This window comes from Homo sapiens, chromosome 22 (genome assembly GCF_000001405.40).
Source record: "Homo sapiens chromosome 22, GRCh38.p14 Primary Assembly".
Lineage (NCBI taxonomy): Eukaryota > Metazoa > Chordata > Mammalia > Primates > Hominidae > Homo > Homo sapiens.
Genome location: NC_000022.11, coordinates 49,657,677 through 49,682,274, shown reverse-complemented (window position 1 = coordinate 49,682,274; position 24,598 = coordinate 49,657,677). Strand labels below are relative to the sequence as shown.

The 24,598-nt window shown below is 52.8% G+C and overlaps 1 long non-coding RNA gene across 2 annotated transcripts, besides 9 other annotated features; it reads left to right on the top strand.

The window, feature by feature from the left end:
• Positions 4,425 to 4,924: an enhancer, noted in NCBI's record as "H3K4me1 hESC enhancer chr22:50070999-50071498 (GRCh37/hg19 assembly coordinates)". NCBI's record gives its function as "activates a minimal SCP1, AML or CMV promoter by ChIP-STARR-seq in naive H9 embryonic stem cells {active_cell/tissue: H9 hESC(naive)}" and the evidence as "EXISTENCE:reporter gene assay evidence [ECO:0000049][PMID:30033119]".
• Positions 11,430 to 11,479: a silencer, noted in NCBI's record as "silent region_13921". NCBI's record gives its function as "represses an Ori minimal core promoter by ATAC-STARR-seq in GM12878 lymphoblastoid cells {active_cell/tissue: GM12878}" and the evidence as "EXISTENCE:reporter gene assay evidence [ECO:0000049][PMID:35858748]".
• Positions 12,220 to 12,269: a silencer, noted in NCBI's record as "silent region_13920". NCBI's record gives its function as "represses an Ori minimal core promoter by ATAC-STARR-seq in GM12878 lymphoblastoid cells {active_cell/tissue: GM12878}" and the evidence as "EXISTENCE:reporter gene assay evidence [ECO:0000049][PMID:35858748]".
• Positions 12,828 to 13,028: a silencer, noted in NCBI's record as "peak4519 fragment used in MPRA reporter construct". NCBI's record gives its function as "represses an SCP1 promoter by STARR-seq MPRAs in K562 erythroleukemia cells {active_cell/tissue: K562}" and the evidence as "EXISTENCE:reporter gene assay evidence [ECO:0000049][PMID:32103011]".
• LOC124905145 (uncharacterized) lies at positions 12,866 to 20,323 on the top strand. Of its 2 annotated transcripts, none has more exons than XR_007068151.1 (2): positions 12,866 to 13,905; positions 18,598 to 20,323. It is a non-coding gene; the product is annotated as an uncharacterized LOC124905145 (long non-coding RNA). The 2 variants fall into 2 exon arrangements; XR_007068150.1 differs by lacking the exon at positions 12,866 to 13,905 and adding an exon at positions 14,501 to 18,214.
• Positions 17,115 to 17,645: an enhancer, noted in NCBI's record as "H3K4me1 hESC enhancer chr22:50058278-50058808 (GRCh37/hg19 assembly coordinates)". NCBI's record gives its function as "activates a minimal SCP1, AML or CMV promoter by ChIP-STARR-seq in naive H9 embryonic stem cells {active_cell/tissue: H9 hESC(naive)}" and the evidence as "EXISTENCE:reporter gene assay evidence [ECO:0000049][PMID:30033119]".
• Positions 17,115 to 17,659: a biological region, named in NCBI's record as "H3K4me1 hESC enhancer GRCh37_chr22:50058278-50058808".
• Positions 17,480 to 17,659: a silencer, noted in NCBI's record as "fragment chr22:50058264-50058443 (GRCh37/hg19 assembly coordinates)". NCBI's record gives its function as "represses an EF-1alpha promoter that drives an FKBP-Casp9 reporter gene in an ReSE screen in HepG2 liver carcinoma cells {active_cell/tissue: HepG2}" and the evidence as "EXISTENCE:reporter gene assay evidence [ECO:0000049][PMID:32094911]".
• Positions 20,707 to 21,207: an enhancer, noted in NCBI's record as "H3K4me1 hESC enhancer chr22:50054716-50055216 (GRCh37/hg19 assembly coordinates)". NCBI's record gives its function as "activates a minimal SCP1, AML or CMV promoter by ChIP-STARR-seq in primed H9 embryonic stem cells {active_cell/tissue: H9 hESC(primed)}" and the evidence as "EXISTENCE:reporter gene assay evidence [ECO:0000049][PMID:30033119]".
• Positions 24,475 to 24,574: an enhancer, noted in NCBI's record as "active region_19279". NCBI's record gives its function as "activates an Ori minimal core promoter by ATAC-STARR-seq in GM12878 lymphoblastoid cells {active_cell/tissue: GM12878}" and the evidence as "EXISTENCE:reporter gene assay evidence [ECO:0000049][PMID:35858748]".

Sequence of the window (24,598 nt, the reverse complement as noted above, 5' to 3'; positions counted from 1 at the left end):
ATACCAAAACCAGATGAAAAATTAAAGAAAACTATAGACCAATGTCTCTCATGAAAACAGAAAGTCTCAAAAAATATTAGCAAATGGTATCCATCTACCTATCTCAACAAGTGACATTTATCCTAAGAATACAGAATCAATATTCAAATATCAATCTATGCAATTCACCACATTAACTGTCTAAAGAAGGAAAAAACACATGATCATATCAATTGATATAGAAAAAGTAACATTCTTAAATGATAAAACTTCTAGAGTAGAAAGGAACATCTTCACTTGGATAAAAGATAATCATGGGCCGGGCATGGTGGCTCATGCCTGTAATCCCAGCACTTTGGGAGGCTGAGGCGGGTGGATCACCTGAGGTCAGTCAGGAGTTCAAGACCATCCAGCCTGATCAACATGCCTGATCAAGACGGGGTGAAATCCTGTCTCTACTAAAAATACAAAAATTAGCCGGGCATGGTGGCACATGCCTGTAATCCCAGCTACTCGGGAGGCCGAGGCAGGAGAATCGCTTGAACGTGGGAGGCAGAGGTTGCAGTGAGCCGAGATTGCGCCATTGCACTCCAGCCTGGGCAACAAGAGCGAAACTGTCTTAAAAAAAAAAAAAAGAGATAATCATGAAAACCTTTCAGCTAACATTATACTTCATCGTGAATGACTGATGCTTTTTTCCCGAAGATCAGAATCAAGACAAGGATGCTTAGTCTCACTACACTTATTCAACATCATGCTGGAAGTCCTAACCCCATGCAATAACATAGATATATATATATGACATGTCATATACATAAGATATATGTAATATGTATGTATGTATTTTTATATAAACATAGGCTGAATAAAGAATCCAGAAATAGACACATACAAATATGGCCAACTGATTTTTGACAAAGGTGTAAAAGCAATATATATATATATATAATAGAATATTTTATATATGTATAATATACACTAGAAAGGAAGGAGTAAAAATGTTCATCCCTAATCACAGATAATATGTCTACATAGAAAATCCCAAGGAATCTGTAAAACAATTTCTATAGTAAATAAGTTTAGCAAGCTTGCAGGAGAATGGTGAAAAAAAAAACCCAACAATTAGATTTCTATATGTTAGCCATGAACAATGAGAAACAAAAATAAAAAATGAATCAATTTACAATGGTTCCAAAAATGAAATATTTAAACATATATATATATATTTTTTAGATGGAGTCTCTGTCGCCCAGGCTGGAGTGCAGTGGTGCCATCTCGGCTCACCGAAACCTCTGCCTCCCGGGTTCAAGCAATTCCTGCCTCAGCCTCCAGAGTAGCTGGGATTACAGGTGCACGCCACCACTCCCGGCTAATTTTTGTATTTTTAGAAGAGACCAGGTTTCACCATGTTGGCCAGACTGGTCTCAAACTCCTGACCTCAAGTGATTCATCCACCTTGGTCTCCCAAAATATTGGGGTTACAGGCATGAGCCACCGTGCCTGGCCAGATATAAATATTTTTAAAAAGTATGTTGTATGCTGAAAACTACAAAATGTTGGTGAAAGAAAGCAAAGATCTAAATAACTGGAAAGCCATGTCATGTTGATGTATAGAAAATTCTGAAGGGAAGATGACAACTTTCCACAGGTAATCCATAGATTTAACATGACACCAGTCAAACTCTGCACAAATGTTTTGTAGACATAGGTAAGTTGGTTCCAAAATTTACATGGAAAAGCAAAGAAACAAGAATGTCTAAACCAACTCTAAAAAAGAAGAAGGAAGTTGGAGGAATCTTTGATTTTAAGACTCACGATGAATCTACAGTAGTTGAGAGAGTGTGGTGTTAGTGAAAGACAAGAAACATAGACCCATGGAACAGAGTGAAGAAGCCAGAAATAGCCACACAGAAACATGGCCGGTTTTTGACAAAGGTGTAAAAGCAATTCGAAGTTTTAATGAATAGTGTTTCAAAAATGGTGTTGGATCAACTGAACATCCATGACAAAAAAAATGAGCCTCAACCTGAAGCTTACACCTTATGCAAAAAATAACTCAGAAGGGACCATAGACATAAATGTAAAATGTAAGACTCTAACACTCTCAGGAGAAAAATCTTTATGACTTGCAGTCAGGCAGAGCTCTTTTTAAAAATATTTAAAAATTTTCATTGTATTCTAAAGTGACAAATAATTGTACTCAGCATTGATACTCTGGGCCGCAAACCCTCTTCTGTGGTGATTTTTGGATAATCATTACTATCCAGTTAGCTGCTTATTCTTTCTACATGGCAAGCTCCTTTCAGAAAATTACACTTTTCCCCGGAAGTCCTGTGTGCTACTGACACTTTCAAATACGCTCGCCGAGTTGTACAACATGTTCTAAGCAGACATTTTACCAAAAATAACACATTTGCCATAGTGTTCTTTTGCAATTAAACATGTTTTGCTGGTTGATATGTTGTGTTTTCCATTGGTTCTCAGAGGTTTAGCTAGTTTACTGGCTTTTTCAAAAAGGTGTGATTTTTCAATGATCCAGGGATAAAAGTCCTGGTTTTCCAATTCATTATGAAGTGCCATCTTCCTCCCATTTCTCTGTTTTAACTTCTCTGTTCTCCAGAGCTCCTCTGAGAGTTTCGACCCTGTGATCCCCTCCTGTTTTCTGAGTTGATAATTACGGTATCCGAACTTGAGGCGTCCCCTCTGCATTGAGCTCTGGCCAGGCCCTCCAGGTTTCCGCCCAGAGAATTCTTTTAATTTTTGGAAAGCATACTACTTAAAATTTTTATTTCCTTTTAGAACAGAATCATATATGTTTTAAAATTGCCTATAGTTGGCTTTTTTAAACCGTATTTATTTTTATGATGTTTTTCTGGTCTTCTTGTCTCAGATGAACAGAACTGTCATTTCTGTCTCTTACAATTTATTGTAGTTTTCGTTCTGCAGCCTTATTGATGATGGATATTTGCAAATCTTTCATGAATTTTAGAGGAAAAGTGTGTGCTATGTCTATGCATATTTATTAAATCATCCTTATTAATCATCTTATTTATTTTCCTCCTACAATCTCATCTATCTCTGTCCATCTCAACATTTGAAGAGCGAGTGAAAGGTTAAATTTTTTCACTGTAACTGCTTTTCTGTCAAATTTGAAAATACTTTTGTCTTTGTCTTATATGAACATTTCAGTGCCCTGTTACTGAGCACATCTGAATTCTTGTAGCAGCTTCCGTATGTGGGTCGCGCCTCTCGTCTGTGTAGAGGCACCTGCTTTCCTTCCGTCCACGGCATCTGCCTGGGGTCGTGTCTGCTCCCGTCTGTGGCCCCCCTACACTGTGAGTCTGCGTCCATCTCCTTGGTTTTGTTTGTCCTTTTGCCTTCTTAATCCCCATCATTTTAAAAATCACTCTGCCTTTTGTGAGCAGAATAAATCTGGACTTTGTTTTGCAACCGAGACTGGGGTCTTTGTCTTCCCGTAAGAACGTTTAGTGGCACTGTCACCCTTTGCATTGCATGCCTCTGTGACCTCCCTTCTGAGCTCAGGGGCTGGGCCGTGGGGTGCCTGGGCTCCTGCTGACTCCCTGTGGCTTTCCTGGGGAGTGTCCTGCACGCCCCCCGTGGTCCCATCCCACCTCTCTGGGGGTGGATTCAGACTGGAGCAGCAACATCAACAGCCACTTTCCAGAAACCGGCAGCCCCTGTCCCCGTCATCGTCTGTGTTTGTTCTTCCGCAGAGCCCAAGCTTCCTCTGTGCCCAACAGCCACTTTCTAGAAACCGGCAACCTCTGTCCCCGTCATCGTCTGTGTTTGTTCCTCCGCAAAGCCCGAGCTTCCTCTGTGCCCAGCCACCTACACAGGTGTGTGGGCCCACGAAGGAAATAAGCCTCAGTTTCCCTGAGAGGCCCCTACGGCTCCATGCATCTCAGGGTGGGGGAGGTAGACCAGTGGCTCCTGGCCTGTGCTGCCGGGGGTGCCTGAGCCGGCCTGGGGCTCCAGCTCCCACCCCTGAGCCGATAGGTAAAAAGGCTCCTGGAAAGCAGCGCTGTTCTGATTTTCATCATTTTCAAGGTTAAAAACCTAAATTCCCATATGGAAGAATTAAGTTTAATAATGAAGAGGTAAGGACGTGTATATGTGTGTGTGTGTGTGCGCACACACATGTCCAGGCTGACAGCACGCACAACTGGCTCTGCCCTGGGAAACGTCTGGAATGTAAATATGTATTTATGAAGGAGTATGTTCTCCATAAATCGCTTATAAATAATTTCTTTGGAATGAAAATATACAGGAATTCAATTTCCCAGGTAGTCTCCAGGCTTCTGAGCACCCATAAGCGCCAGGTTGTATATAAACACGTGAAATATTTATGTCAGACACAGCCTGTGGCCTCGGTCTGTGGTGTCTGATGTCTGGGAAGCGCTGGCCCCAGGGAGCTGGACCCCACTCTCTGAGGATGAGCAAGAGCCGGGTCAGCACACTTCAAGGAGACAGCAAGGGCGCCAGCTCAGAGAGGAGGACGCCGAGGCTCGGGCACTGAAGACACAGGGAGTGCCCCCAAAAGGCGTGACGAGCGCTCTGTGGTTGGGGGATGTCACCCACGCGGTCGGGCCACCCACACCCCGGCCAGACGTCCAGCTGCCAACACTTGCGTCTCCACTGATGCCCCTGCAGGCCTCTGACAGCTGAGTCCCCTCTGCCTGGGTGGGCTGCTGGGGAATTAGGCAGCCCCTCCCAGGGTCCTGCTCAGGGGGCGGTGTTTGCTGTGTAGTGCATCCCCAGCTCCCTCAGGCCTCGGTGCGGTAGCACTGGCTCTCATGTTCTCCATGGGCTCTGTGCACCCCCAGCATGGCCTGACCATAGGCCCCTCTCCAGCTCTGTCCCTTCCCTGTTCACTTCCCTGCACCCCCGACGGTTTCCTGGGTCATCTCCCAAGTCAGCTACTTATGCTCAAGCCCTTTTCTCAGGGTGCTTTGGGGGCACCTGGCAGGAAGGGGGAGGGAACCAGCAGCTCAGGCTCCTTGGGGGAGGGCACGTGCCCCACAGTGTCCACCCCGAGTGGCCAGCAATAGCTGCCTCGCCAGGAGACAGGTCACCAGGGCCATTCCTGGGCTCCACCCAAGACCTGCTGGATTAGAAGCCAGGGGAATTGGGCCCAGCAAACCCTGCAGGTGACTCTGCTGTATCCCAGCATGGGATCTTGCTGTAGAGTATGGGGATCAGGGGGCCGTGGGCAGCTCGGTGGACCTGGCCTTTCCTGCTCTGTGAAGGTGGCCCCTCTGCCCACCTGAGGAGGGTTGAACAGGAAGTGCTGAGATCAGCAGGAGGCCACTGTGGGGTCTGCGAAGGTGAGGGCCTGGCATTGGGGAGGGAGGCTGGGCATGTACCTGGGGGCCAGCTTGAAGACTCCAGGGGGAGGTGAATCAGAGACATTGGGAGAGGCGGGGCAGGTGGTATGGACAGGGCTGCACCAAGTTTGATTCTCTGCTGAGCTTTGAGAGCTTGGTGGGTGAGTAGGAAGTCTTCCTACATTTTTTGACATAATTAATTAATTTCTGATGTATCTTACAATCTTGAATGCATCATAGCTTAATGGGAAGCTTTAAAATATTTATTAACAATATGTAGGATAGCAGCTTTGATTTGTGAAATATCAGAAAACAATGTCTGGCTGTGAAACAACCTATGGGTGTTAGGAAATGACAGTGGGTCACAGTAAACTTGGATAATGGCTCTTGTCACCAGTATTCAATATGCAGTTTTGTTACTGAGAAAATTTAACCTTCATCTTGACACCTGTAAGCAGCTTTGAGCTGGCAAATGCTTTTATCGGCCAATTAGCCCAAGAAGCAGCTTTCACACAACAGGGGCAGAAGTATACCTTCACAGCCTCATCTTAGGGCCGAGTCAGTGTTCCTGACGTCTGTCAGAATTAGGACTGGGTCATCTCGGTTCACCATCCCACAGAACATCATGCTGGTCAGCCACATTGGTGGTATCATGCTGCTCGAGTCTGGTGAGCTGGAAGTAGCAAATATCTCAGAGAGGAGAGATCAACCCACACTAACTCAGGACCTCGCGACCTTGTTGAAATGTCCAGGGATCCAGTGATCCGAAGCAGGTCAGTGTGTCTCTACAAAGTAGAAGATACCTTGCTTCACTTTGCCGTCCCTCACGTTGATAAAGAGACACTGTGCTTTGGATGTTTAAGACAATATGAATCATCCTTCACTGTGCTTCTCTAATCCATTTAATGAGCAATAGATAAGCTGTAATCCTTGAAAAAATTTGGTTACTTTTGAGTCTTCTCCTACCTTTTCTGAGATCAGAGATACTTCAAAAATGTGCCCTAAACTCATGCTCTGTATGTATTTTAATAAACGAGGAAAATTACCTGAAAGAAAGAAACCCTGTTTGTCTTGACTTAATGTAATTTATCCTATCCTCCTTCACCTTTGGCCATGCCTGGACCACTGCAAGCGAGTTGTAGGCAGTTGGCTTACAGGCCAGGGTTAGGTTGGGTTGGATGGATGGATACAACCCAAGGGTTGCACCAACTCAGGGCCAGAAAGATGGCGATACAACTGGAACCAATGAAATATTCCTAAGTGGAGAAAGGAAATAACTCTCTTAAAGGAAAACCCATTTTAAGTTGTTAGTTCACATGCAATCTGCCCCTCCTGAATGATTCTGTTTTTAGAGGCTGGACCTCTGGATATGCCATTCAGTTGGAATTCATTTCTCCAGCTTGCTCCCCACGGTGCACCCTCCCCTTGGGCATCATGATTTACTGTTAGACTGGGTAGGTTTTAGCCACACTCCCTGGCAAGAATTTTCATCTCCTGTTTCTCTTTCTTTTTCTTTCTTCCTTTCTTTCCTTTCCTCCTTTCTTTCTCTTTCTTTTCTTTCTTTTCTTTCTTTCTTTCTTTCTTTCTTTCTTTCTTTCTTTCTTTCTTTCTTTCTTTCTTTCTTTCTTTTTCTTTCCCTCCCTCCCTCCCTCCCTCCTTTCTTTCCTTCCTTCCTTTCCTTCCTTCTTTCTTTTTTTTTTTGACAGGGTCTTAGTCTGTAGCCAAGGCTGGAGTGCAGTGGTGCAGTCATGGCTCGCTGCAGCCTTGATTGCAGCCTTAAGCCAGGCTTAAGTGATCCTCCTACCTCAGCCTCCCAAGTAGCCAGGACTACAGGTGTGTATCATCCTGCCTGGCCAATTTTTACAAGTTAAATTAATTTTTGTTGTTGTTGTTGTTGAGACAGGGTCTCCCTATGTTTCCCAGGCTGATCTTGAACTCCTAGGCTCAAGTGATCTTCCCGCCTCAGCCCCTTGTAAAGTGCTGGGATCACAGGTGTGAGCCCCAAGCCTGGCTTCCTCTCCTCTTTCTGAGTCCTCCACCCTCCCAGGGACTGTGCTGTGACACATTGTTACGAAAACACAGTAATTTCCCACTTGAGTAATTGTCTTTATCCACTGGGCTTTCTCTGTCTCCTCTAACTGATGAGTATGTAGCTACATTGCGAATGTGGAGGTCATCTGTGCTCTCAAAGAACCGGCGAGAGTTACAGTTAGCGTCAGCTGGCTTGGCATGGAGTCTGGGCATCTGAGCTGCCTGGGGAGTTTACCAGGATACCAGGAACCCCTGCTACAGAGGAGGGCATTTGTGTCTGCACGCTGGCACCGTCACAGCATCTGATGATCCGATTCAAATGCCCTTCCTCTCTTTGTGTCTCTCTTTTTTTTTTTTTTTTTTTTTTTTGAGAAGGAGTCTTACTCTGTTGCGAAGGCTGGAGGGCAGTGGTGTGATCTTAGCTCACCGCAACCTCCGCCTCCTGGGTTCAAGCGATTCTCCTGCCTCAGCCTCCCAAGTAGCAGGGATTACAGGTGCGTGCCACCACGCTCGGCTAATTTTTGTATTTATGGTAGAGATGGGGTTTCACCATGTTAGCCAGGCTGGTCTCGAACTGCTGACCTCAGGCAATCTGCCTACCTTGGCCTTCCAAAGTGTTGGGATTACAGGAGTGAGCCACCGCACCCAGCCTCTTTGTGTCTCTTTTACAAGCTCATGAAAGACGCGCTGACAATAAGCTGCATCTTTGTTAAGTGGCCACATTTGCGAGGGGATTGACAACCTCCTCTCTGTGTGTTAATGCACTGACTGGAACATTCAGGCTGCGGTGAGGAAAGAGGTTAGAATTCCAAGCGAAGTGAAGTAACATTCCTGGCTTCTCCTTGCAGCTGCACTTCTCCCAAGCCGATGGAGCCCTGAAGCGACATGAGGCTGGGTCCTGCAGAGGCCAAGCTCCGTGAAGCCCAGGGTGCCCCCCACTCGGCCCCGCCCTCCTGTCCCCCTCCATGGCTCTCAGGGGTGCAGCTGATGATGGGGTACAGGGCGAGGAACTGAGGGAGGTTAGGGGTCACTTCACTGGCCGAGGGGAGGTTTTGAAGGCTGAGACACTGGCCAACTCAAGTAGGACTTTCACTGTTGTCCATGTCCACTCCTTGTGCTGGGAGAGTCCAGAGCCACAGTGACCTCTCGGAAGGGAAGTGAAGGGGCCTTGGAGGAGCCAAATGCTGCAGGAATGCCGGCTCCTTTCCTCCATGGGGGCGGGGGCGGGTTCTAGGGACTCCCCCTCCCCCTCACTCCCCCTCCCCCTCCATCCCCCTCCCTCCCCCTTCCCCCTCTCCCTCCCCCGCCCTCCTCCTCCCTTCCCCCCCCTCTGTCCTCCCTCCCCCTTCCCCTTCCCCCTCCCCACCTTCCCTCTTCCCCCTTCCCCTCCTTCCCCCTCTCCCTCCCTTCCCCTCTCCCTCCCTTCCCCTTCCCCACCCTCCCTTCCCCCTCCCCTGCCCTCTGTCTCCTTCCTCCCTTCACTTCTTTCTCCTCTCTTTTCAGAGGCTCTAAACGTGCCAGACACTGTGCTGGGCCCTTGGGACACATCCACGAAATACCACTTTCAAGATCACAGTCGCGTTTTTCAGAACAAAATGTTTTTCTTCTTGGAGAATTAACTGGAGCCCCGTGCGTTTGTGCGTGGCCATCCCCGTGTGACTGCCGGCTGTGCTGGTGCACTGGCCTCTGATGAGACATCCCTGGGTCACTCGTTCACTCGCTGGACAGGCCCCCTGGGCCCCGGCTGTGTGCCAGGTGCTCGTTTAGGATTGCTGCTGAGAAGTGGACTCTTTATCAGTCGAATTCTGTTTTCCACAGATAATTTATTTCAGAATGAATGATTCCTCCTCTTTCTCCTTCCCTTCTCTGTGGAGAAGATGCTGGAGGGTGAAGTGAGGAACAGAACCTGCGCTTATGTCTGACGGGGGTTGAATCCTCAGAGTTCCCCGCGAGAAGATGCTGGAGGGTGAAGTGAGGACCAGAACCTGCCCTTATGTCTGACGGGGGTTGAATCCTCAGTGTTCCCCGCGAGAAGATGCTGGAGGGTGAAGTGAGGACCAGAACCTGCCCTTATGTCTGATGGGGGTTGAATCCTCAGTGTTCCCCGCGAGAAGATGCTGGAGGGTGAAGTGGGGACCAGAACCTGCCCTTATGTCTGATGGGGGTTGAATCCTCAGAGTTCCCCGCGAGAAGATGCTGGAGGGTGAAGTGAGGACCAGAACCTGCCCTTATGTCTGACGGGGGTTGAATCCTCAGTGTTCCCCGCGAGAAGATGCTGGAGGGTGAAGTGGGGACCAGAACCTGCCCTTATGTCTGATGGGGGTTGAATCCTCAGAGTTCCCCGCGAGAAGATGCTGGAGGGTGAAGTGAGGACCAGAACCTGCCCTTATGTCTGACGGGGGTTGAATCCTCAGTGTTCCCCGCGAGAAGATGCTGGAGGGTGAAGTGAGGACCAGAACCTGCCCTTATGTCTGATGGGGGTTGAATCCTCAGTGTTCCCCGCGAGAAGATGCTGGAGGCTGAAGTGAGGACCAGAACCTGCTCTTATGTCTGATGGGGGTTGAATCCTCAGTGTTCCCCGCGCCTCCCCCCAGCAGAGCATTTCCTGCTTCAGAAGCCGCCCCCCGCCCCCACCCCCGCTGGGGCAATTTTTCCTTAAGGGCCTTGAGGCGCTCGGTTTTTGAAGGATAATTGCAGCCCCCACAGAAGCCGAACGATTCCTGGTTGAGGAAACAGTGTCTCCCCATTTATCTCTGTTGGAAGTTCAGATCGGCAGATGCTGGTCAGAGCCCTCTCCCCTCACAGCCTGGCAATAATCCACGTGGAGAAACGTTGAGTGCTAGGATTTCATAAATTCATGAAACGTATTAACCAGAAGTGTTGCCAAAAGACCTTGTTCACAGTCCAAGATCTGAGTGTTTATGCACAGAAGGGGTCTGCTTCCCGCCGGGACCCCCCTCACCAGCATCTGCTGATTTCCCCTCCCGCTAATGGAAAGTAACTGATGTGATGAGAAGGGACAGGTCGGAGCCGCCCCCTCCGCCCTGGCTCCAGCGGGGCTGAGGACGCTTAACGACGTTCTGTTCCGAACACCTGCGATCCCATCATTACCTCCCAAACAGAACATTTTGGAGAGATACTGCATTTCCATAGGTTTCAAGAAGTACTTTCGAACCACTGTTCCCAAGCCAAGGTGGAAAGCTACGTTTCAGCATCTGAGTAGTTTTTGAATGACCCGCAGTGACTGAAGGAAGGAGAGGGATTTCGAACACACTCGGGAAAGACAAACTCCCCCCGTCCGCTTTAGAACTGGAGAGAGAGCAACGCTCGCGGTTTGGAAGGAGCTTGGGGGGGCATCTGATCTGGTGAAACATCTGCCCCCACCCCTTATTACAGCCTCGACTCTTTAACTTTTATGGTAGACCCTGGGCTGGGTGCTGAGGATTTAAGGATAAATGGGATTTTCTTGCTGCTAAAGGGCTAAGTTAGTGGGGGTGCATCCACACCACGGATATTTGTTTCACGACGTGATACATGTGACGGGCTGTGTGTGTGACTATACAGTGAGAACAAGACAGGGATTCGAGAAGAAGCGTCACAATCCGCAGGCCTCTCTCTCTCCGCTGACCTGTGGCGCGGGGCGGAGAATCCTGTGGTTCCTGTCCTGCTTCTCAGCCCCGCCCTCCTTTTGGGGGAATCCGAAACGCTGCCTGGACGCTGGTCGAAGGGTGCCACCTGCCTTCCTTTTCATCTGGGGTCCCGGCCACACCCCCACGTCCCTGCTGCTACCCTGTTTTGTTCCCCTCCGTGTGACAGGAGCGCAGGATTTGCGTGGGGAGGGCAGGAGGTGACGTGAGGGGCTGGGGGTGCAGAGGACGCAGGGACGGCAGGGGCCGGGGGTGACGAGGGGCGTGGGTGGGGCTGGAGGGGGTCAGGGCTTGGCCGGCACCAAGACTCAGCCCTGTGGGAGCAGATGGTGGTCTCCAGCCTCCCTCCCCATCCCCAGCCGGGGTCTGGGTTCCAAGTGTTCAATCCCCTCCCCTCAACCAGCCAGTGCTCCAGCTGGAGCTAGCAGAGGCTCCTGCAGGAAACGCTGACCCCCGGGTTGAGAGCCGAGGGCTGGCTGGGGCAGGCTGCCCGCTGGGAGGGAAGCGCTCTCCCGGGCCGGGTGACAGGTGGCAGCCCACGCAGCCGTCACTCACTCTCAGCGCCTCCTCGGCCTGGGCGTCCGCTCTGGCCACGCCCGAGGAGCCCTGCATCCCGCCACCGCGCTGTGGGGGCCCCTCTCTGGCTGGCCGAGGCCGGAGCCGGCTCCCTCTGCTTGCGGGGAGGTGTGGAGGGAGGGGCGCGGGCGCGAACCGGGGCTGCGCGGCGCTCGAGGGCCGGCGCGAGTTCCGGGTGGGCGTGGGCTCCGTGGGCCTCGCGCTGGGAGCGGCCGGCTGGCGCCGCGGGCCGGGCAGTGAGGGCCTTAGCACCCGGGCCGGCAGCTGTGGAGGGTGCGCCGGGTCCCCCAGCAGTGCCGGCCCCCCGGCGCTGCGCTCGAATTCCCGCCGGGCCTCAGCTGCCTCCCCGCGGGGCAGGGCTCGGTACCTGCAGCCCGCCATGTCCGAGCCTCCCTGCGCCACCCTGGGCTCCTGCGCGGCCCGAGCCTCCCCGACGAGCGCCGCCCCCTGCTCCGCGGCGCCCAGTCCCATCCACCGCCCAAGGGCTGAGGAGTGCGGGCGCACGGGACTGGCAGGCAGCTCCACCTGCAGCCTCGGTGCAGGATCCACTGGCTGAAGCCAGCTAGGCTCCTGAGTCTAGTGGGGACTTGGAGAACGTTTATGTCTAGCTAAGGGATTGTAAATACACCAATCAGCACTCTGTGTGTAGCTCAAGGTTTGTAAATGCACCAATCAGCACCCTGTCCCTAGCTCAAGGTTTGTAAATCAGCACTCTGTATCTAGCTAATCTATTGGGGACTTGGAGAACCTTTATGTCTAGCTAAGGGATTGTAAATACACCAATCTGCACCCTGTGTCTAGCTCAAGGTTTGTAAATACACCAATCAGCACCCTGTCCCTAGCTCAAGGTTTGTAAATCAGCACTCTGTATCTAGCTAATCTGTTGGGGACTTGGAGAACCTTTATGTCTAGCTAAGGGATTGTAAATACACCAATCAGCACTCTGTGTCTAGCTCAAGGTTTGTAAATGCACCAATCAGCACCCTGTGTCTAGCTCAAGGTTTGTAAATGCACCAATCAGCACTCCATGTCTAGCTCAAGGTTTGTAAATGCACCAATCAGCACCCTGTGTCTAGCTCAAGGTTTGTGAATGCCCCAATCAGTGTTCTGTGTATAGCTAATCTAGTGGGGACTTGGAGAACTTTTCTGTCCAGCTCAGGGGTTGTAAACGTACCAATCAGCACCCTGTCAAAACAGACCAATCAGCTCTCTGTAAAATGGACCAATCAGCAGGATGTGGGTGGGGACAGATAAGGGAATAAAAGCAGGCTGCCCAGGGCCAGCAGTGGTAACTTGCTGGGTTCCTTTCCCAGCAGTGTGGAAGCTTTGTTCTTTTGCTCTTTGCGCTAAATCTTGCTGCTGCTCACTCTGGTCTTTGGGTCAGTACTGCCTTTATGAGCTGTAATACTTACTGCTAAGGTCTGTAGCTTCACTTCTGAGCCAGCAAGACCATGAACCCACCAGAAGGAGGAAACTCGGAACACATCCAAACATCAGAAGGAACAAACTCCAGACGCACTGCCTGTAAGAACTGTAACACTCACTGCGAGGGTCTGTGGCTTCATTCTTGAAGTCAGTGAGACCATAGAACCCACCAATTCCGGACACAGGGATAGAGCAGTGACCATCTAAGGGCTCTCAGGGCCAGGCCGGGAGCCAGGAAGAGCAGCTGCGTCGGAGCTGGGCAGCTTTTGGGGTCCGTGGGTCACTGTCAACTGGACTTTGCATCCAGGAAGCGTTGGTTCCTTTTACAGAGTGTCACTGTGATAGTGGGGTGTGTTCGTGTTTTACACGTTTAAAATGGTGCTGGATGCCTGACAGAGCCCTCATGACTGTTTAACACATTTTCTTGAAATCACAAAATTGACTATAAAATGTTCCTCGGAAGTTTTCCAGACTGCGGGCATCCTGGAACACCGGCCAGTTTTCACCTGTTTCTGGACGTTGTGTCGTGGAGCCGTCTTTGTAAGGGACTCGGATCACGCGTTTTCTTTGCTGAGTCGCCTTCCACGTGGCTTTGTCTGTTCTGTGGTTGGGGCGTCTCCTCCCTCCCACACGGGGTGTGCTGTGCCACCCTTGGAGGGCCTTCTCCCATCGGGCCCCGCATCTCCCGCCTGGCCTGTGGAGTGGAGTCCCCTGCCCTTGCTGCTGCTGTGGCCTCATCTCCCAACTCAGCCTTGGCCTCCAGTGACAGGGCTGGAACCCTGGCAGCAGAGCCACCACGGCAGCGACTCAGCTGTGGCCTCCGGTGACAGGGCCGGGACCCCAGCAGGACCTCCACCATGGTGGCAAGGCCTGGACCCCAGTGTGGGATCACGCTTCTGCAGGTGCTGGGGGGCTGCATGGCCGACTTCAGGGGGCAGGAAAATGATGCTTTGTCTTTGGAGAGGGAGGATGTGGGACAAGCTGCCAGGTACTTAGCTCCCCTTCTTCCACCTGCGTGTGCTGAGCCGGGGGCCCTGGGTGGTCAGGACCCTGCCCCTGCCCGCCCCCCCGCCCCCCCCTCGCCCCAACTTGAGCGCTGAGCTGGGAGGCCCCAGGGTGGTCAGGACCTCCTCCCACCTGCATGTGCTGAGCTGGGGGCCCCAGGATGGTCAGGACCTCCCCCCACCTGCGCGTGCTGAGCTGGGGGCCCCAGGGTGGTCAGGACCTCCTCCCACCTGCGCCTGCTGAGCTGGGGGCCCCAGGATGGTCAGGACCTCCCCCCACCTGCGCGTGCTGAGCTGGGGGCCCCAGGGTGGTCAGGACCTCCCCCCACCTGCATGTGCTGAGCTGGGGGCCCCAGGATGGTCAGGACCTCCCCCCACCTGCATGTGCTGAGCTGGGGGCCCCAGGATGGTCAGGACCTCCCCCCACCTGCGCGTGCTGGGCTGGGGGCCCCAGGGTGGTCAGGACCTCCCCCCACCTGCATGTGCTGAGCTGGGGGCCCCAGGATGGTCAGGACCTCCCCCCACCTGCGCGTGCTGAGCTGGGGGCCCCAGGGTGGTCAGGACCTCCTCCCACCTGCATGTGCTGAGCTGGGGGCCCCAGGATGGTCAGGACCTCCCCCCACCTGCGCGTGCTGGGCTGGGGGCCCCAGGGTGGTCAGGATCCCCTCATGCTGCGCTTTCTCTCGGTGCCTCCACCGTCCCTGACCTGCCTTGTCCTGCAGGACCCCAGGCTGGCTGGGCCCATTCCGGGTAAGGCTGGGCTGCTCTCAGAGGGATGGTGTAGGTCCTCAAAGCCTAAGCCGAACCAGCACGGGACCCTGGGGAGCCGGGGTGGAGGGGTGTGGGGGGAGGGTGGGGGTGTTGAGGGGGAGGGTGTGCTGTGGCCGCTCAGTGTTTGGATTTGCATTTCCCTGTGACTTGGAACAGGAAGCGCGTTTTCCGCCCGCGGATATTTCCTGTCTACCAAGTTTCAGTTCAGGACTTTTGTCTCTTCTCTGTTGCTTTTGGTCTTTAAAGAGCTTCTTTTGTTTTTTTGTTTTTCTTTTACATGTTGTGGATAGTTTTTGGGTGAACATAAGCTTTCACTTTTAATGTAGTTGAATTTATCAATATTTTCCTTTTATGGGTAGGAGTTTTTCTTTGTGCCTTTTTAGAGAAATTCATTTCTACTCTGAGATCATGAAGTTATTTACTGCCTGCCTCCCTCCCTCCCTTCCTGCCTTCCTCTCTTTTTTGGAGATGAGGTCTCACTCCGTCTGGAGTGCAGTGGTGCAATATTGGCTCACTGCAATCTCTGCCTCCCACATTCAAGTGATTCTCCTGCCTCAGCCTCCCGAGTAGCTGGGATTACAGGTGCCTGCCACCAGGCCTGGCTAATTTTTGTGTTTTTAGTAGAGATGGGGTTTCACCATGTTGGTCAGACTGGTCTCGAACTCCTGACCTCAGGTGAGCCACCTGCCTCGGCCTCCCAAAGTGCTGGGATTTACAGGCATGAGCCACTGCACCTGGCCTATCTTGTCTTTTAAGAACTATAGAGTTTTGTCTTTCACAATTAGGTCTGTGATTCATGAGGAATGATTTTTGGGCATGGCAGGGGTCAGTGAGCTACAGCCTGAGGGCCAACTCCGGCTGACCACTTGTTTGTGTCAATAAAGTTTTATTGGAACATAGCCATGCACATATTGAGTGGTTGAGGCAGACGCCAACTAAGTGGCTTTCCAGGGCCCAAACGACTGTGGCCCTTTACAGAAAATATGTGCTGACCCCCGGGGTATGGTGTGAGGGAGGGTTCGGTTTTGTTACTGTTGCATGTGTATGTCCTGGGTCGCAGCATCATTCATAGAGGGAACTGCTTTTCCCCTGGCTCCATGGTTCTGCCCTTTCCTACATGGGTATCTACATGAGGCTGGCCCTGCTTCTGGCCACTTCCTTCTCTTCTGGGCTATTTGTTGAGCCTCTGGCCGACGCCACACTGTCTGTCACTGTGGCTTTATGACAAGTCCTGCGTGGTGGAGCCAGCTGTACTATCATTCTTCACTGCTTGCACTCTGGCATGAATTGTGGACTCGGCTTGTCAAGTTCCACAAAGATCAGCTCAGTAGACTCCTGGAGGGGAGCTGGCATCTTGGCTACCCTGAGTCCTCGAGCTGGTTGATAGGAACGTTCCTCCAACTGTGGTGGTCGTCTTTAAAGCTTCTCAGGAAAGTTTCATGAAGGTCTCTGGATGTCTTGGACTCTGTTAGATATACTTCTAAATCTCAACTATTTAAAAAATATTATTGCATATGGTATGTTTTAAAATCTTTCATTTTCTAGTTGTGGATTGCTGTAGAAATAATGGATTTGTTATGTTAATTTTGTCCTTGGCAGTCTTGTTTAACTCCTGTAATCCTATAGATTATTTATCTCATCATCTATGAATACATGCAGTTCTGTGTCTTCCTTTGGAACTCTTATGTATTTTTTTTTCGCCTTGTAAACAGGCCTCCAGCTCATTTCTGATGGGCGCTGATGGAAACAAGAATATTTGATTTTTCTCTTAATGTCAAAGAGGCACTTTCAGTGGCTGTGTGATGTCTTTTGTAGTTTTTTTTTTTTTGGTAGTTTTTTTACAAATGCCTTTCATTAGAGTTACCTTCTGTTCTTCATTAGCCAGAGTTTTTTATTTTGTCATGAAGGAATGATTTTTTTTCAGATTCTTTTTCTGTATTGATTGAGCTACACGTGATCTTTCTCCTCTCTGTTGATGGAGTGAATTGCTTTGATTTTGAGCATTCTATTCTCTTATGTTAAACTTTGAATTTCCAGGATAAATTCAGTGTGACCATGATGTGCTATTCTAGCATTTATTGGTGGATTCAGTTTGATGATGCTTTTTATGATTTATATATCTATGTGTATGAGTGGGATTGATAATGCTTTATGATTTATATATTTATTCAAGCTGTTTTGCCCACCTGCTGCCCACCTTCAGAGAGGGTGTAGAAAAGTGATGTGAGCCCCCCAGCGTCCCCGCTTGTGCCGTGGGTCAGGCCAGCCCCGAGTGAGCCACAGAGCAGCCTGCGGCCAGCGGGGCTGGGGGTCAGCAGGGTCTGGAGGGTCTGCAGGCCTGGGGGCGGCGCTGGGACTGAGCAGGCCTCCGAGCACGGGGGCGCTGCCCTGTGCTCCCCGGGGCCTGCCTGCCTCATGGCTGGATTTCCACCCACCTCGGCTGAGCAGAGAGTGCTGACGGGGCTCCTTGCTCTCCTCTGCTTGGTTCTGAGCTATTGAAATAATAAGGCAGGAAGCCAGAGACACGTGCCCACGTCTCTCCTCTGTCTTGTTAAGGAAAGCGGCGCTTCTGATCAGAAAAACAACACAAGGATCTCAGAGGCAGGACAGAGTGGGATCCGAGGGACCGCGTGGTGTTTCTGGCCCCCTTCCCTCTCGATGGCTGATTATTCAGAGTGTTCACACCCAGCAAAGGAGCAGGCTGCTCGTTCCCGACTGCAGCACGGCGTGCCGGGCCGCGGTGTTCTTTCTGGATCACTGGTTTCCTCAGCAGCAGCGCTAACAGCCGCCCGGCATGTCGGGCTCAATGCATCAGGTCTAATCAGATGTGGCAGCTGCTGAAACCCAAATGCCTCCATCCAACCAAAGCATCTCAATGCTGCCAGTGGTCTCTGGCTGAGCCGCCTCCAATTCAAATGCACGTGACAGGGTCCCTGGCTGCAACCCAGGTTGGAGAATCCGGGATTAGAAGGCTGAGGACTTCGGACAACCAAACCCAGGTCTCTGCCAGATGGCTGGGCCTGGCTTCACCTGTGTGTGGGTGGGAAGGAGCCGTTGGCCAACTGGTCTCTAGAGATGGAGACCCTGACCTGGGTCAAGAGTGACGGGAGATGCCAGGAGGACCTGGCCAGGGCGCCGTCTTGGTTTTTCACCCATTCTGTCTTCCTTCCCTGACCCATGACTCGGGTTTCCAATATTTAAAATACTCTCATCCTGGACCCTGCAATCTAAAGATGATTTTCTTGCAGAGGCTGAGTGAGCTGGCTCTGACCCACCAGATGTACCGGGCCCTGAGCTGGACCCTGGTGTCCAGAAGTGGACACAGCCCCTGTGGGGCTCCAGCCTGTGGGGTTGGGGGGTGATGAGGGACTCCTTCAAGAACGGATGCAGTGCCTGGCAGGGCTGCAGGCTGCTGCCCACAGAGGGGCCTTTGCAGGTAGGCTGGGGGCTCCATACCTGGGCCTGGGCACCCTCTGGAGCTGGGGACAGAACTCGGTCACAGGCAGACACAGCTTCTGCCTCCATGGTTTTGGGGGTGCCAGAATGGTATTCCCTCCTCGATCCTGCTCTGGGGTCTGGGGGCTGCAGGGGCAGGGCTGCTGCTTAAGCAGGGAAGAGACAAAGTCCGGTCCGAGTACTGGGGGGTCCCAGACCTGCGAGTGGACAGGGAGGCTGGTGGCCTTGGGTCCTTGGTGCAGGTGAGAGGCTGTGGCAATGGGAGGGGAGCATCTGTGGGCACCAACCCGCGCTTTTATGTTAATTGTTTAACTTTGGGTATTTCAGATGGAACTCTCCTAAATGTGTCTCTTCCTTTCTCAGCTGTCCCTGATGAAGTTGCCTGGGCACACCAGAGTGTGGGAGAGTGGACGGCGCGGCCCCTCCTGCACTTGGAGCTGCTCTCAGATCTTGGGCTGTGACCCCTGTGGGTGACACGAAGTTCAGTGATTGTCCTCCTTCTGGACTGAGGGACATCCATCCACACGCGCCCCCTCCACAGCCCGATCCCATCACGTCCTGCTCGTCCAACATGGGCCTTAGATCCTGGGGTCTCTGCTGAGTGCCTCCCCTCTGAACGCCCGGCTGGCACTTTCACGGTGAAGCCAGCTGTCATGGACACCGACGGCAGGTGGCCTTTCTGCGTTGTCTACCGGCTGATCTTGAAAGTGAAAACGGACATTGTCTGCCCTGTGGTGACCGTGTTGGGTGATGGTCCTGGGGTCAGGCCCTGCATGCACCTTCACCCAGGGATGGCTTCTTAGCTGACAGCGGCTCTGCCAGGAACCACGATCACCCTCCAGTTTGCTCTTTGTGCTGAATTTTATTGACATGAAATTCGCATGACGCCAACTTTATCGTTTTAAAGTGAATGGTTAAACAGAATGCGGCACTTTCACAGGGCGGCATGACCCCCACCTCTGTCTGCCTTCAGAACATTTTCATCCCCCACGAAAGGAGGAAGCGCAGTCCCCAGGAACAGTTACTCCTCATTTCCCCTCCCCAGCTCTGGCTTCCGCAACCACGAATCTGCTTTCTGTCTCCGTGAATTTGCCTCTTTCGGATATATTTCACGTAAATGGAGTCCCGTGATAGATGAGCTGTGTCTGCCTCTTGCGGGCAGCACAGTGTCTGGAAGGTTCTCCGTGCAGCCGCAGGGGTTGGCGCTTCCTTCCTCCCGAGGCTGACCCGGCCCCGTCGTACGGGGAGTCCACTGTGTGTCTGTCTTTTGGCTGCTGTGAGCCTGGGTGTGCCGCCTGCTCCAGCCCATGTTTTCAGCTCTTTCAGGTGTGGAGGGAGGAGTGGAATTGTGGGATCATATTGTAACTTTAACTTTGGAAGGATCTGCCAAATTACCCCTCTAATTTGTTTTCAATTTTATTCTTATTTCCCTGTCACTTGTTCTTTCTTTTGACTGGTTAAAAAAAATGGCAAAGGTCTTCAGCAAAACAAGAAGTGAGTTTCAATTGAACCGTGAATTAAATATGATACACTCAAAATCTGACCAATAATACATTTTAATTTTCCCCACACATTTACGTCCACGTTAATTTCATGGAAATCAAGATGCTTTTGCCTCTGTTCTAAAGTATTTATTTTTTTTAAGACAGGTTCTTACTCTGTTGCCCAGGCTGGAGTGCAATGGCGCGATCTCAGCTCACTGCAGTCTTGACCTCCCAGGCTCAAGCAATCCTCCTGCCTCAGCCTCCTGAGTAGCTGGGACCACAGGTGTGCATCACCATGCCTGGCTAATTTGTTACATTTTTAGTAGAGACGGGGTTTCACCATGTTGGCCAGGCTGGTCTGGAACTCCTGACCTGAAGCGATCCTCCCACCTCAGCCTCCCACAGTGCTGGGATTACAGGCGTGAGCCACCACGTGCAGCCTGAAAGTATTTTTTTTTAGAGTTTCCTAAAAGTTTCATCATCCCTTTTGTTTTCCTAACAAGCTGTGAAACCCAGTGGGTTTTAATTGTGAATCAGCACCAAAACACATGCAGATTTAATTTTTAATTGAAATGATGGACAATAAACAGAATTAATAACTCAAATGCTTGAAGTCTGTCAAGCATGGTGCTTTGTCTTTGCCATGGACATGAAAAAGCAGCATTCCCCTCCGGACTTGAGGCTGGGGACCTTCTGAGTCAGAGCAGCCCCTCCCTCCCCACCTCCACGGCTGTTTCCACTTTGCCATCTCCCCAGCGGGCTCTGCCCGTCCACCTGTGAGACACTCTGACTCCACGGCTTGGCTTCTGCTTGCCCCAGGCAGTGGGATTCGGTGGCCAGGCCCTCATTTGTTTCCCCCTCCTCCTTTCCCCAGCAGCTCCTGGCCTGGCATGCAGCAGGTGCTCTGCTGGGCGAGTGGGAGGAGGGAGCATAGCCACCGCTGCAGGTGGTCTGTTTGGTGCTGGGAGACGTCATGCGTGTGTTGTCAGGCACTGGAACCCCCTGGGAGGGTGCAGGGCAGGTTTAGGACAGCCACGTGTGCCCAGATCTATGAGACCTTTGTGGGCTCGACTGAGTTGGGGGCTGGGCACAGAGCTTGGAGACCTCTTACTGGGAGCTGTGTGAGTGGCAGGGCCAAGGCTGTGGGGGCTGCAGGAGCTGGTGAGGAGGCATGTGCTCGGCCGTCATGGGACTGTCCCTGGGACTCCTGCAGCTGGGGTAGGCTCCAGGCAGGGCTCTGAGCTGCCCCCACACACCTCCATGCAACCCCAGCTCCATGTGCTGCTGGAAAGTCCCTGAGTACCAGGGGGGCACCTGGGGAGGGGCCTGAGTCCTGCAGACAGACCTGGGATGGGGGTGTCATCCACAGGTGAGGAGTGGTCCGTGCCAGGGACAGGCAGAGCCGCCAGCATGGGCCCTGCTGGGATCTCCGATTGGGAAAACCATCCCGCCACGGGAGGTGGCCAAGGTGCGTCCCCCAGCCTATGCATTGGGGTCCTGGTTCCATCCCCGCCTCTCCTGTGGGCCGCACTCAGTGCCTTTTCCATGTAACCCGTGCCGTGTGCGGTGCTCAGAGGAGGAGCGATCGTCATGGGGAGCTGCAGTGCCTTTTCCATGTAACCCGCGCCGTGTGCGGGGCTCCGAGGAGGAGAGGACGTCACGGGGAGCTGCGGTGCCTTTTCCATGTAACCCGCGCCGTGTGCGGGGCTCGGAGGAGGAGCGGTCATCACGGGGAGCTGCAGCGCGTCTGGTGATGTGGGGCTCACAGGCTCCTAATGAGGCTCTCAGTCTTGTTTATTGCGTTCTTGCTGGAAGATTTTTTTTCTGAAACGTAGGCACAGAATGAACTTGAAATATTGAGCTCTGCTTGAAATAAAAATGTCTTGATAATTAGAACCTTTGCCTGAACAGATTCCTGTGGGGCTGCGCTGTGCAGGCTGGTTACGGGTGGGGCTCTGCTGCCCACCGAGTCATTGCTCAAAGGCAAACGGGTCAAGCCACCGAGGAGGGACCCACCGGGCCCCGAGACCCGGCAGCCGCCCAATCTGGCCATCCTCGCCATCCCAGCCCCCTCGGGCCGGCCAGAGCCCCTCGCTCACCTCCATGGTGTGGGGGCCTCTTCCTGGGGCACCCCCAGGGTGCCCAGGCCCAGGAGAGAGGAGCAGCCACGTGCATGGTGGCCGTACATTGCTTCTTGACTGCGTTCCATTTAAAGTAAAAAGTATCTTGAACAAGTGAGAAACGGCTTGGAAATGTGCCTTGGGAGAGAAAGGTCCTGTTTTAGTCAAACGACTGCCCTCCATGGGCAAAGGCCAAGAGGTCACAGGGGACCCCGAGACCCTGGCTTCTCACCTGAATCCCAGAGTGGGAACCGGTGACCTGGAGGTGCCGCGTGGCGCCCCGCGTTTCTCCCCGTCAAGGATTTGAAACAAGCGTGGCATCAGGATCCGAGGCAGCCTTGTCGTCCTTCAGGGCATCCTGTTCAGCACGGATGGCCGAGTGGGGCCGGATGCCGAGCCCCGCACACTCTCACACTCTGGCTTCCTGACCAGGGCAGGGGGAGCTGGTCAAGGGTTTGGCTTTGTCTCTCCCCTCGTCCTACTTCTGGGCCAGCAGGATGGGATTGGAACTGTTTTCTGGCTGGCTGAAGGGCTGAAATGATTTAAATTCATACCGAGGATCTGCCGCCTGCACCCCCACTGCCTGCGGCCACCTCCAAGACTGACGCCTGCGGCCACCTGTACATCCTGGCCAGGGCCTTCTGAGAACCAGAGGGAACTTGACCCTCGCTCTATCTCAGCATCCCCGACAGCTGGGCCCTTAGCGCCAGCTGAGCCTGCTCTGGAGGCCTGGTGGTGGGCAGCGGGCAGTGGGTGGCTAGAGGGGCAGACAGGAGGGCACAGGGCCAGGGCCGAGTGTGTGTCTTATGGGATGTGCTGTGGATCTCCTTGGGCAGCCCCGTCTCTGCCTGGTGGCCGACCATCTGGTTGAATTGACTCTTGGGGTGTGAGAAGGGCCCCCTCGTCTCTGCAGCCACTGATGCCGGCCTTCACCAGGGGTCACCCAGGGGTCATCTTCTGGATCAAGGCTGGCCGGGTGGGCTTCCAGCTGCTTGTCCACGGCCCTGCCCCTCGGGACTAGGGAGATGTCTGCTTGGAGCACATGTGCTGAGATCCCTGAAGACCTTCTGCTCTGAAGAAGATCCCTACATCCCTTCTCTGGGGTGCTGGCCTTGGGAACTGCGAGGTGTCTGGTTGGAGCTGTCGGCTGCAGCCCGGTGCCCCGGGACTGAGGGAGGTGTGGAGCCTCTTTGTCATTAGGTCTAATTACACAGGCTTTCTTACTCCTAGGTAAAGCCCGCATCTGAATGCAGAGATATTCAACTCCAGCATTCTCCTGGGACCAGCAGCACTGGTTTCCATGCCTTCCTCCACCAGGATTTTAAATTAAGCTTGATGGAATCGCAGCTGCTGCTTATTCATCTCCCTCGGGCCTTCCCGGGAAATCGGTGGCTGTTAATGAATGCTGAAGCTGACTCAGCAATTTCTTCTTACCTGTGGCTTAAAAAAACAGCCTCAACACTCTGCTTTCTTCCTTGATAAGCGCCTGCCCATATGCCCGACTCTCTGGCAGCTGGAATTCTGCTAGCGCTGGTGTTGTGGGTTGAATGTGTCCCCGCTAAAAAGATGTGTTGACATCCTAGCCCCCCGAGGACCTGTAAAGGTGAACTTACTTGCCAATAGGGTTTTTGCAGTTATAATCAAATTAAAGATCTGGGGATGAGATAGTCCCATCCCGGAGAGGGTACGCCTTAAATCCTGTAATTAACCGGTGTTCCTCATAAAAAAGAGAGAGGTTTGAGGCTCAGGCAGGAGGCCATGCAGACACAGAAGCTCCAATCAGGCCATGCGGCTGTGAACCAGGGAATTCCAGGGATTGTGGGGCCCCTGGAAAATGCAGAGACAGGAAGATCCCTCCCTTGGAGCCTCCAGAGGGAACGTGGCCCCGGGGACACCTTGATTTTGGACTTCCGGCCTCCGAACTGTGAGAGAATTTCTGTTGCTTTAAGCCCCCAGTTTGTGGTCCTTTGTCACGGAGGCTCCAGGAAATCACATGGTGGGCCCAGCTTTCCTGGTGAGGGTGCACTCAACCGACAGTGTGGATCTGTGGCGGGAACACAGCTCCCCGATGTTTGCCCTCTGCCTCCCTGTGGCTTCCCTGTACCTGGAGGAGGAGCAGAGGGGGTTAACAGCATCCAGTGAGGTGGAGGAGGTGCAGGCTGGGCCCTCAGGGGCAGGGGTCTCATCGTGGCCCACCCCAGAGGCCATCAGTCTGGGCCCTACCCTTGGAGCAGGTAGGGGACTGAGGGGAACTGGGCACCCATGGTTCACGTTGTGTGCCAGGGAGGAGATGGCAGAGGGTTCCCCTGGGGTGAGGCTGTGCTGGCCAAGGATGCCTGGAAGGGGGCATTCAGGGTGGCGGGAACAGCATGGTGGCAGGTAGAGGCCAGGGTGAGGCTGGACTCCAGAGAAAGCCAGGAGAGGCCTTATGAGGACAGGTGCCAGAGGGCGTGTTTCTCAGGCTCACACTGGTGCTCCGTGGAGAAGAGCAGGGGATAGGTGGAACCGTGTGAGCCTTTGCGGAGGTGACGTCGTCACCGGGTCACTGGCCAGGAGATGGCAGGGGCTGGAGGAAGGGCGGGCCTGAGCTCCATCTGGAGGTGGGAGGGATATAACCTGTGGATGGGCTGAGAGAGGGGCTCTCAGGGAGGGGAATCGCAGGGCCCCGGGGCTCCGGCTGGAGCTCCTGCAGGAGACTGGGCAGGTGCCCAGATCAGGAGCCTGATCTGGGGGGTGTGCTGTGGTCTGGCTGTGTGTCCA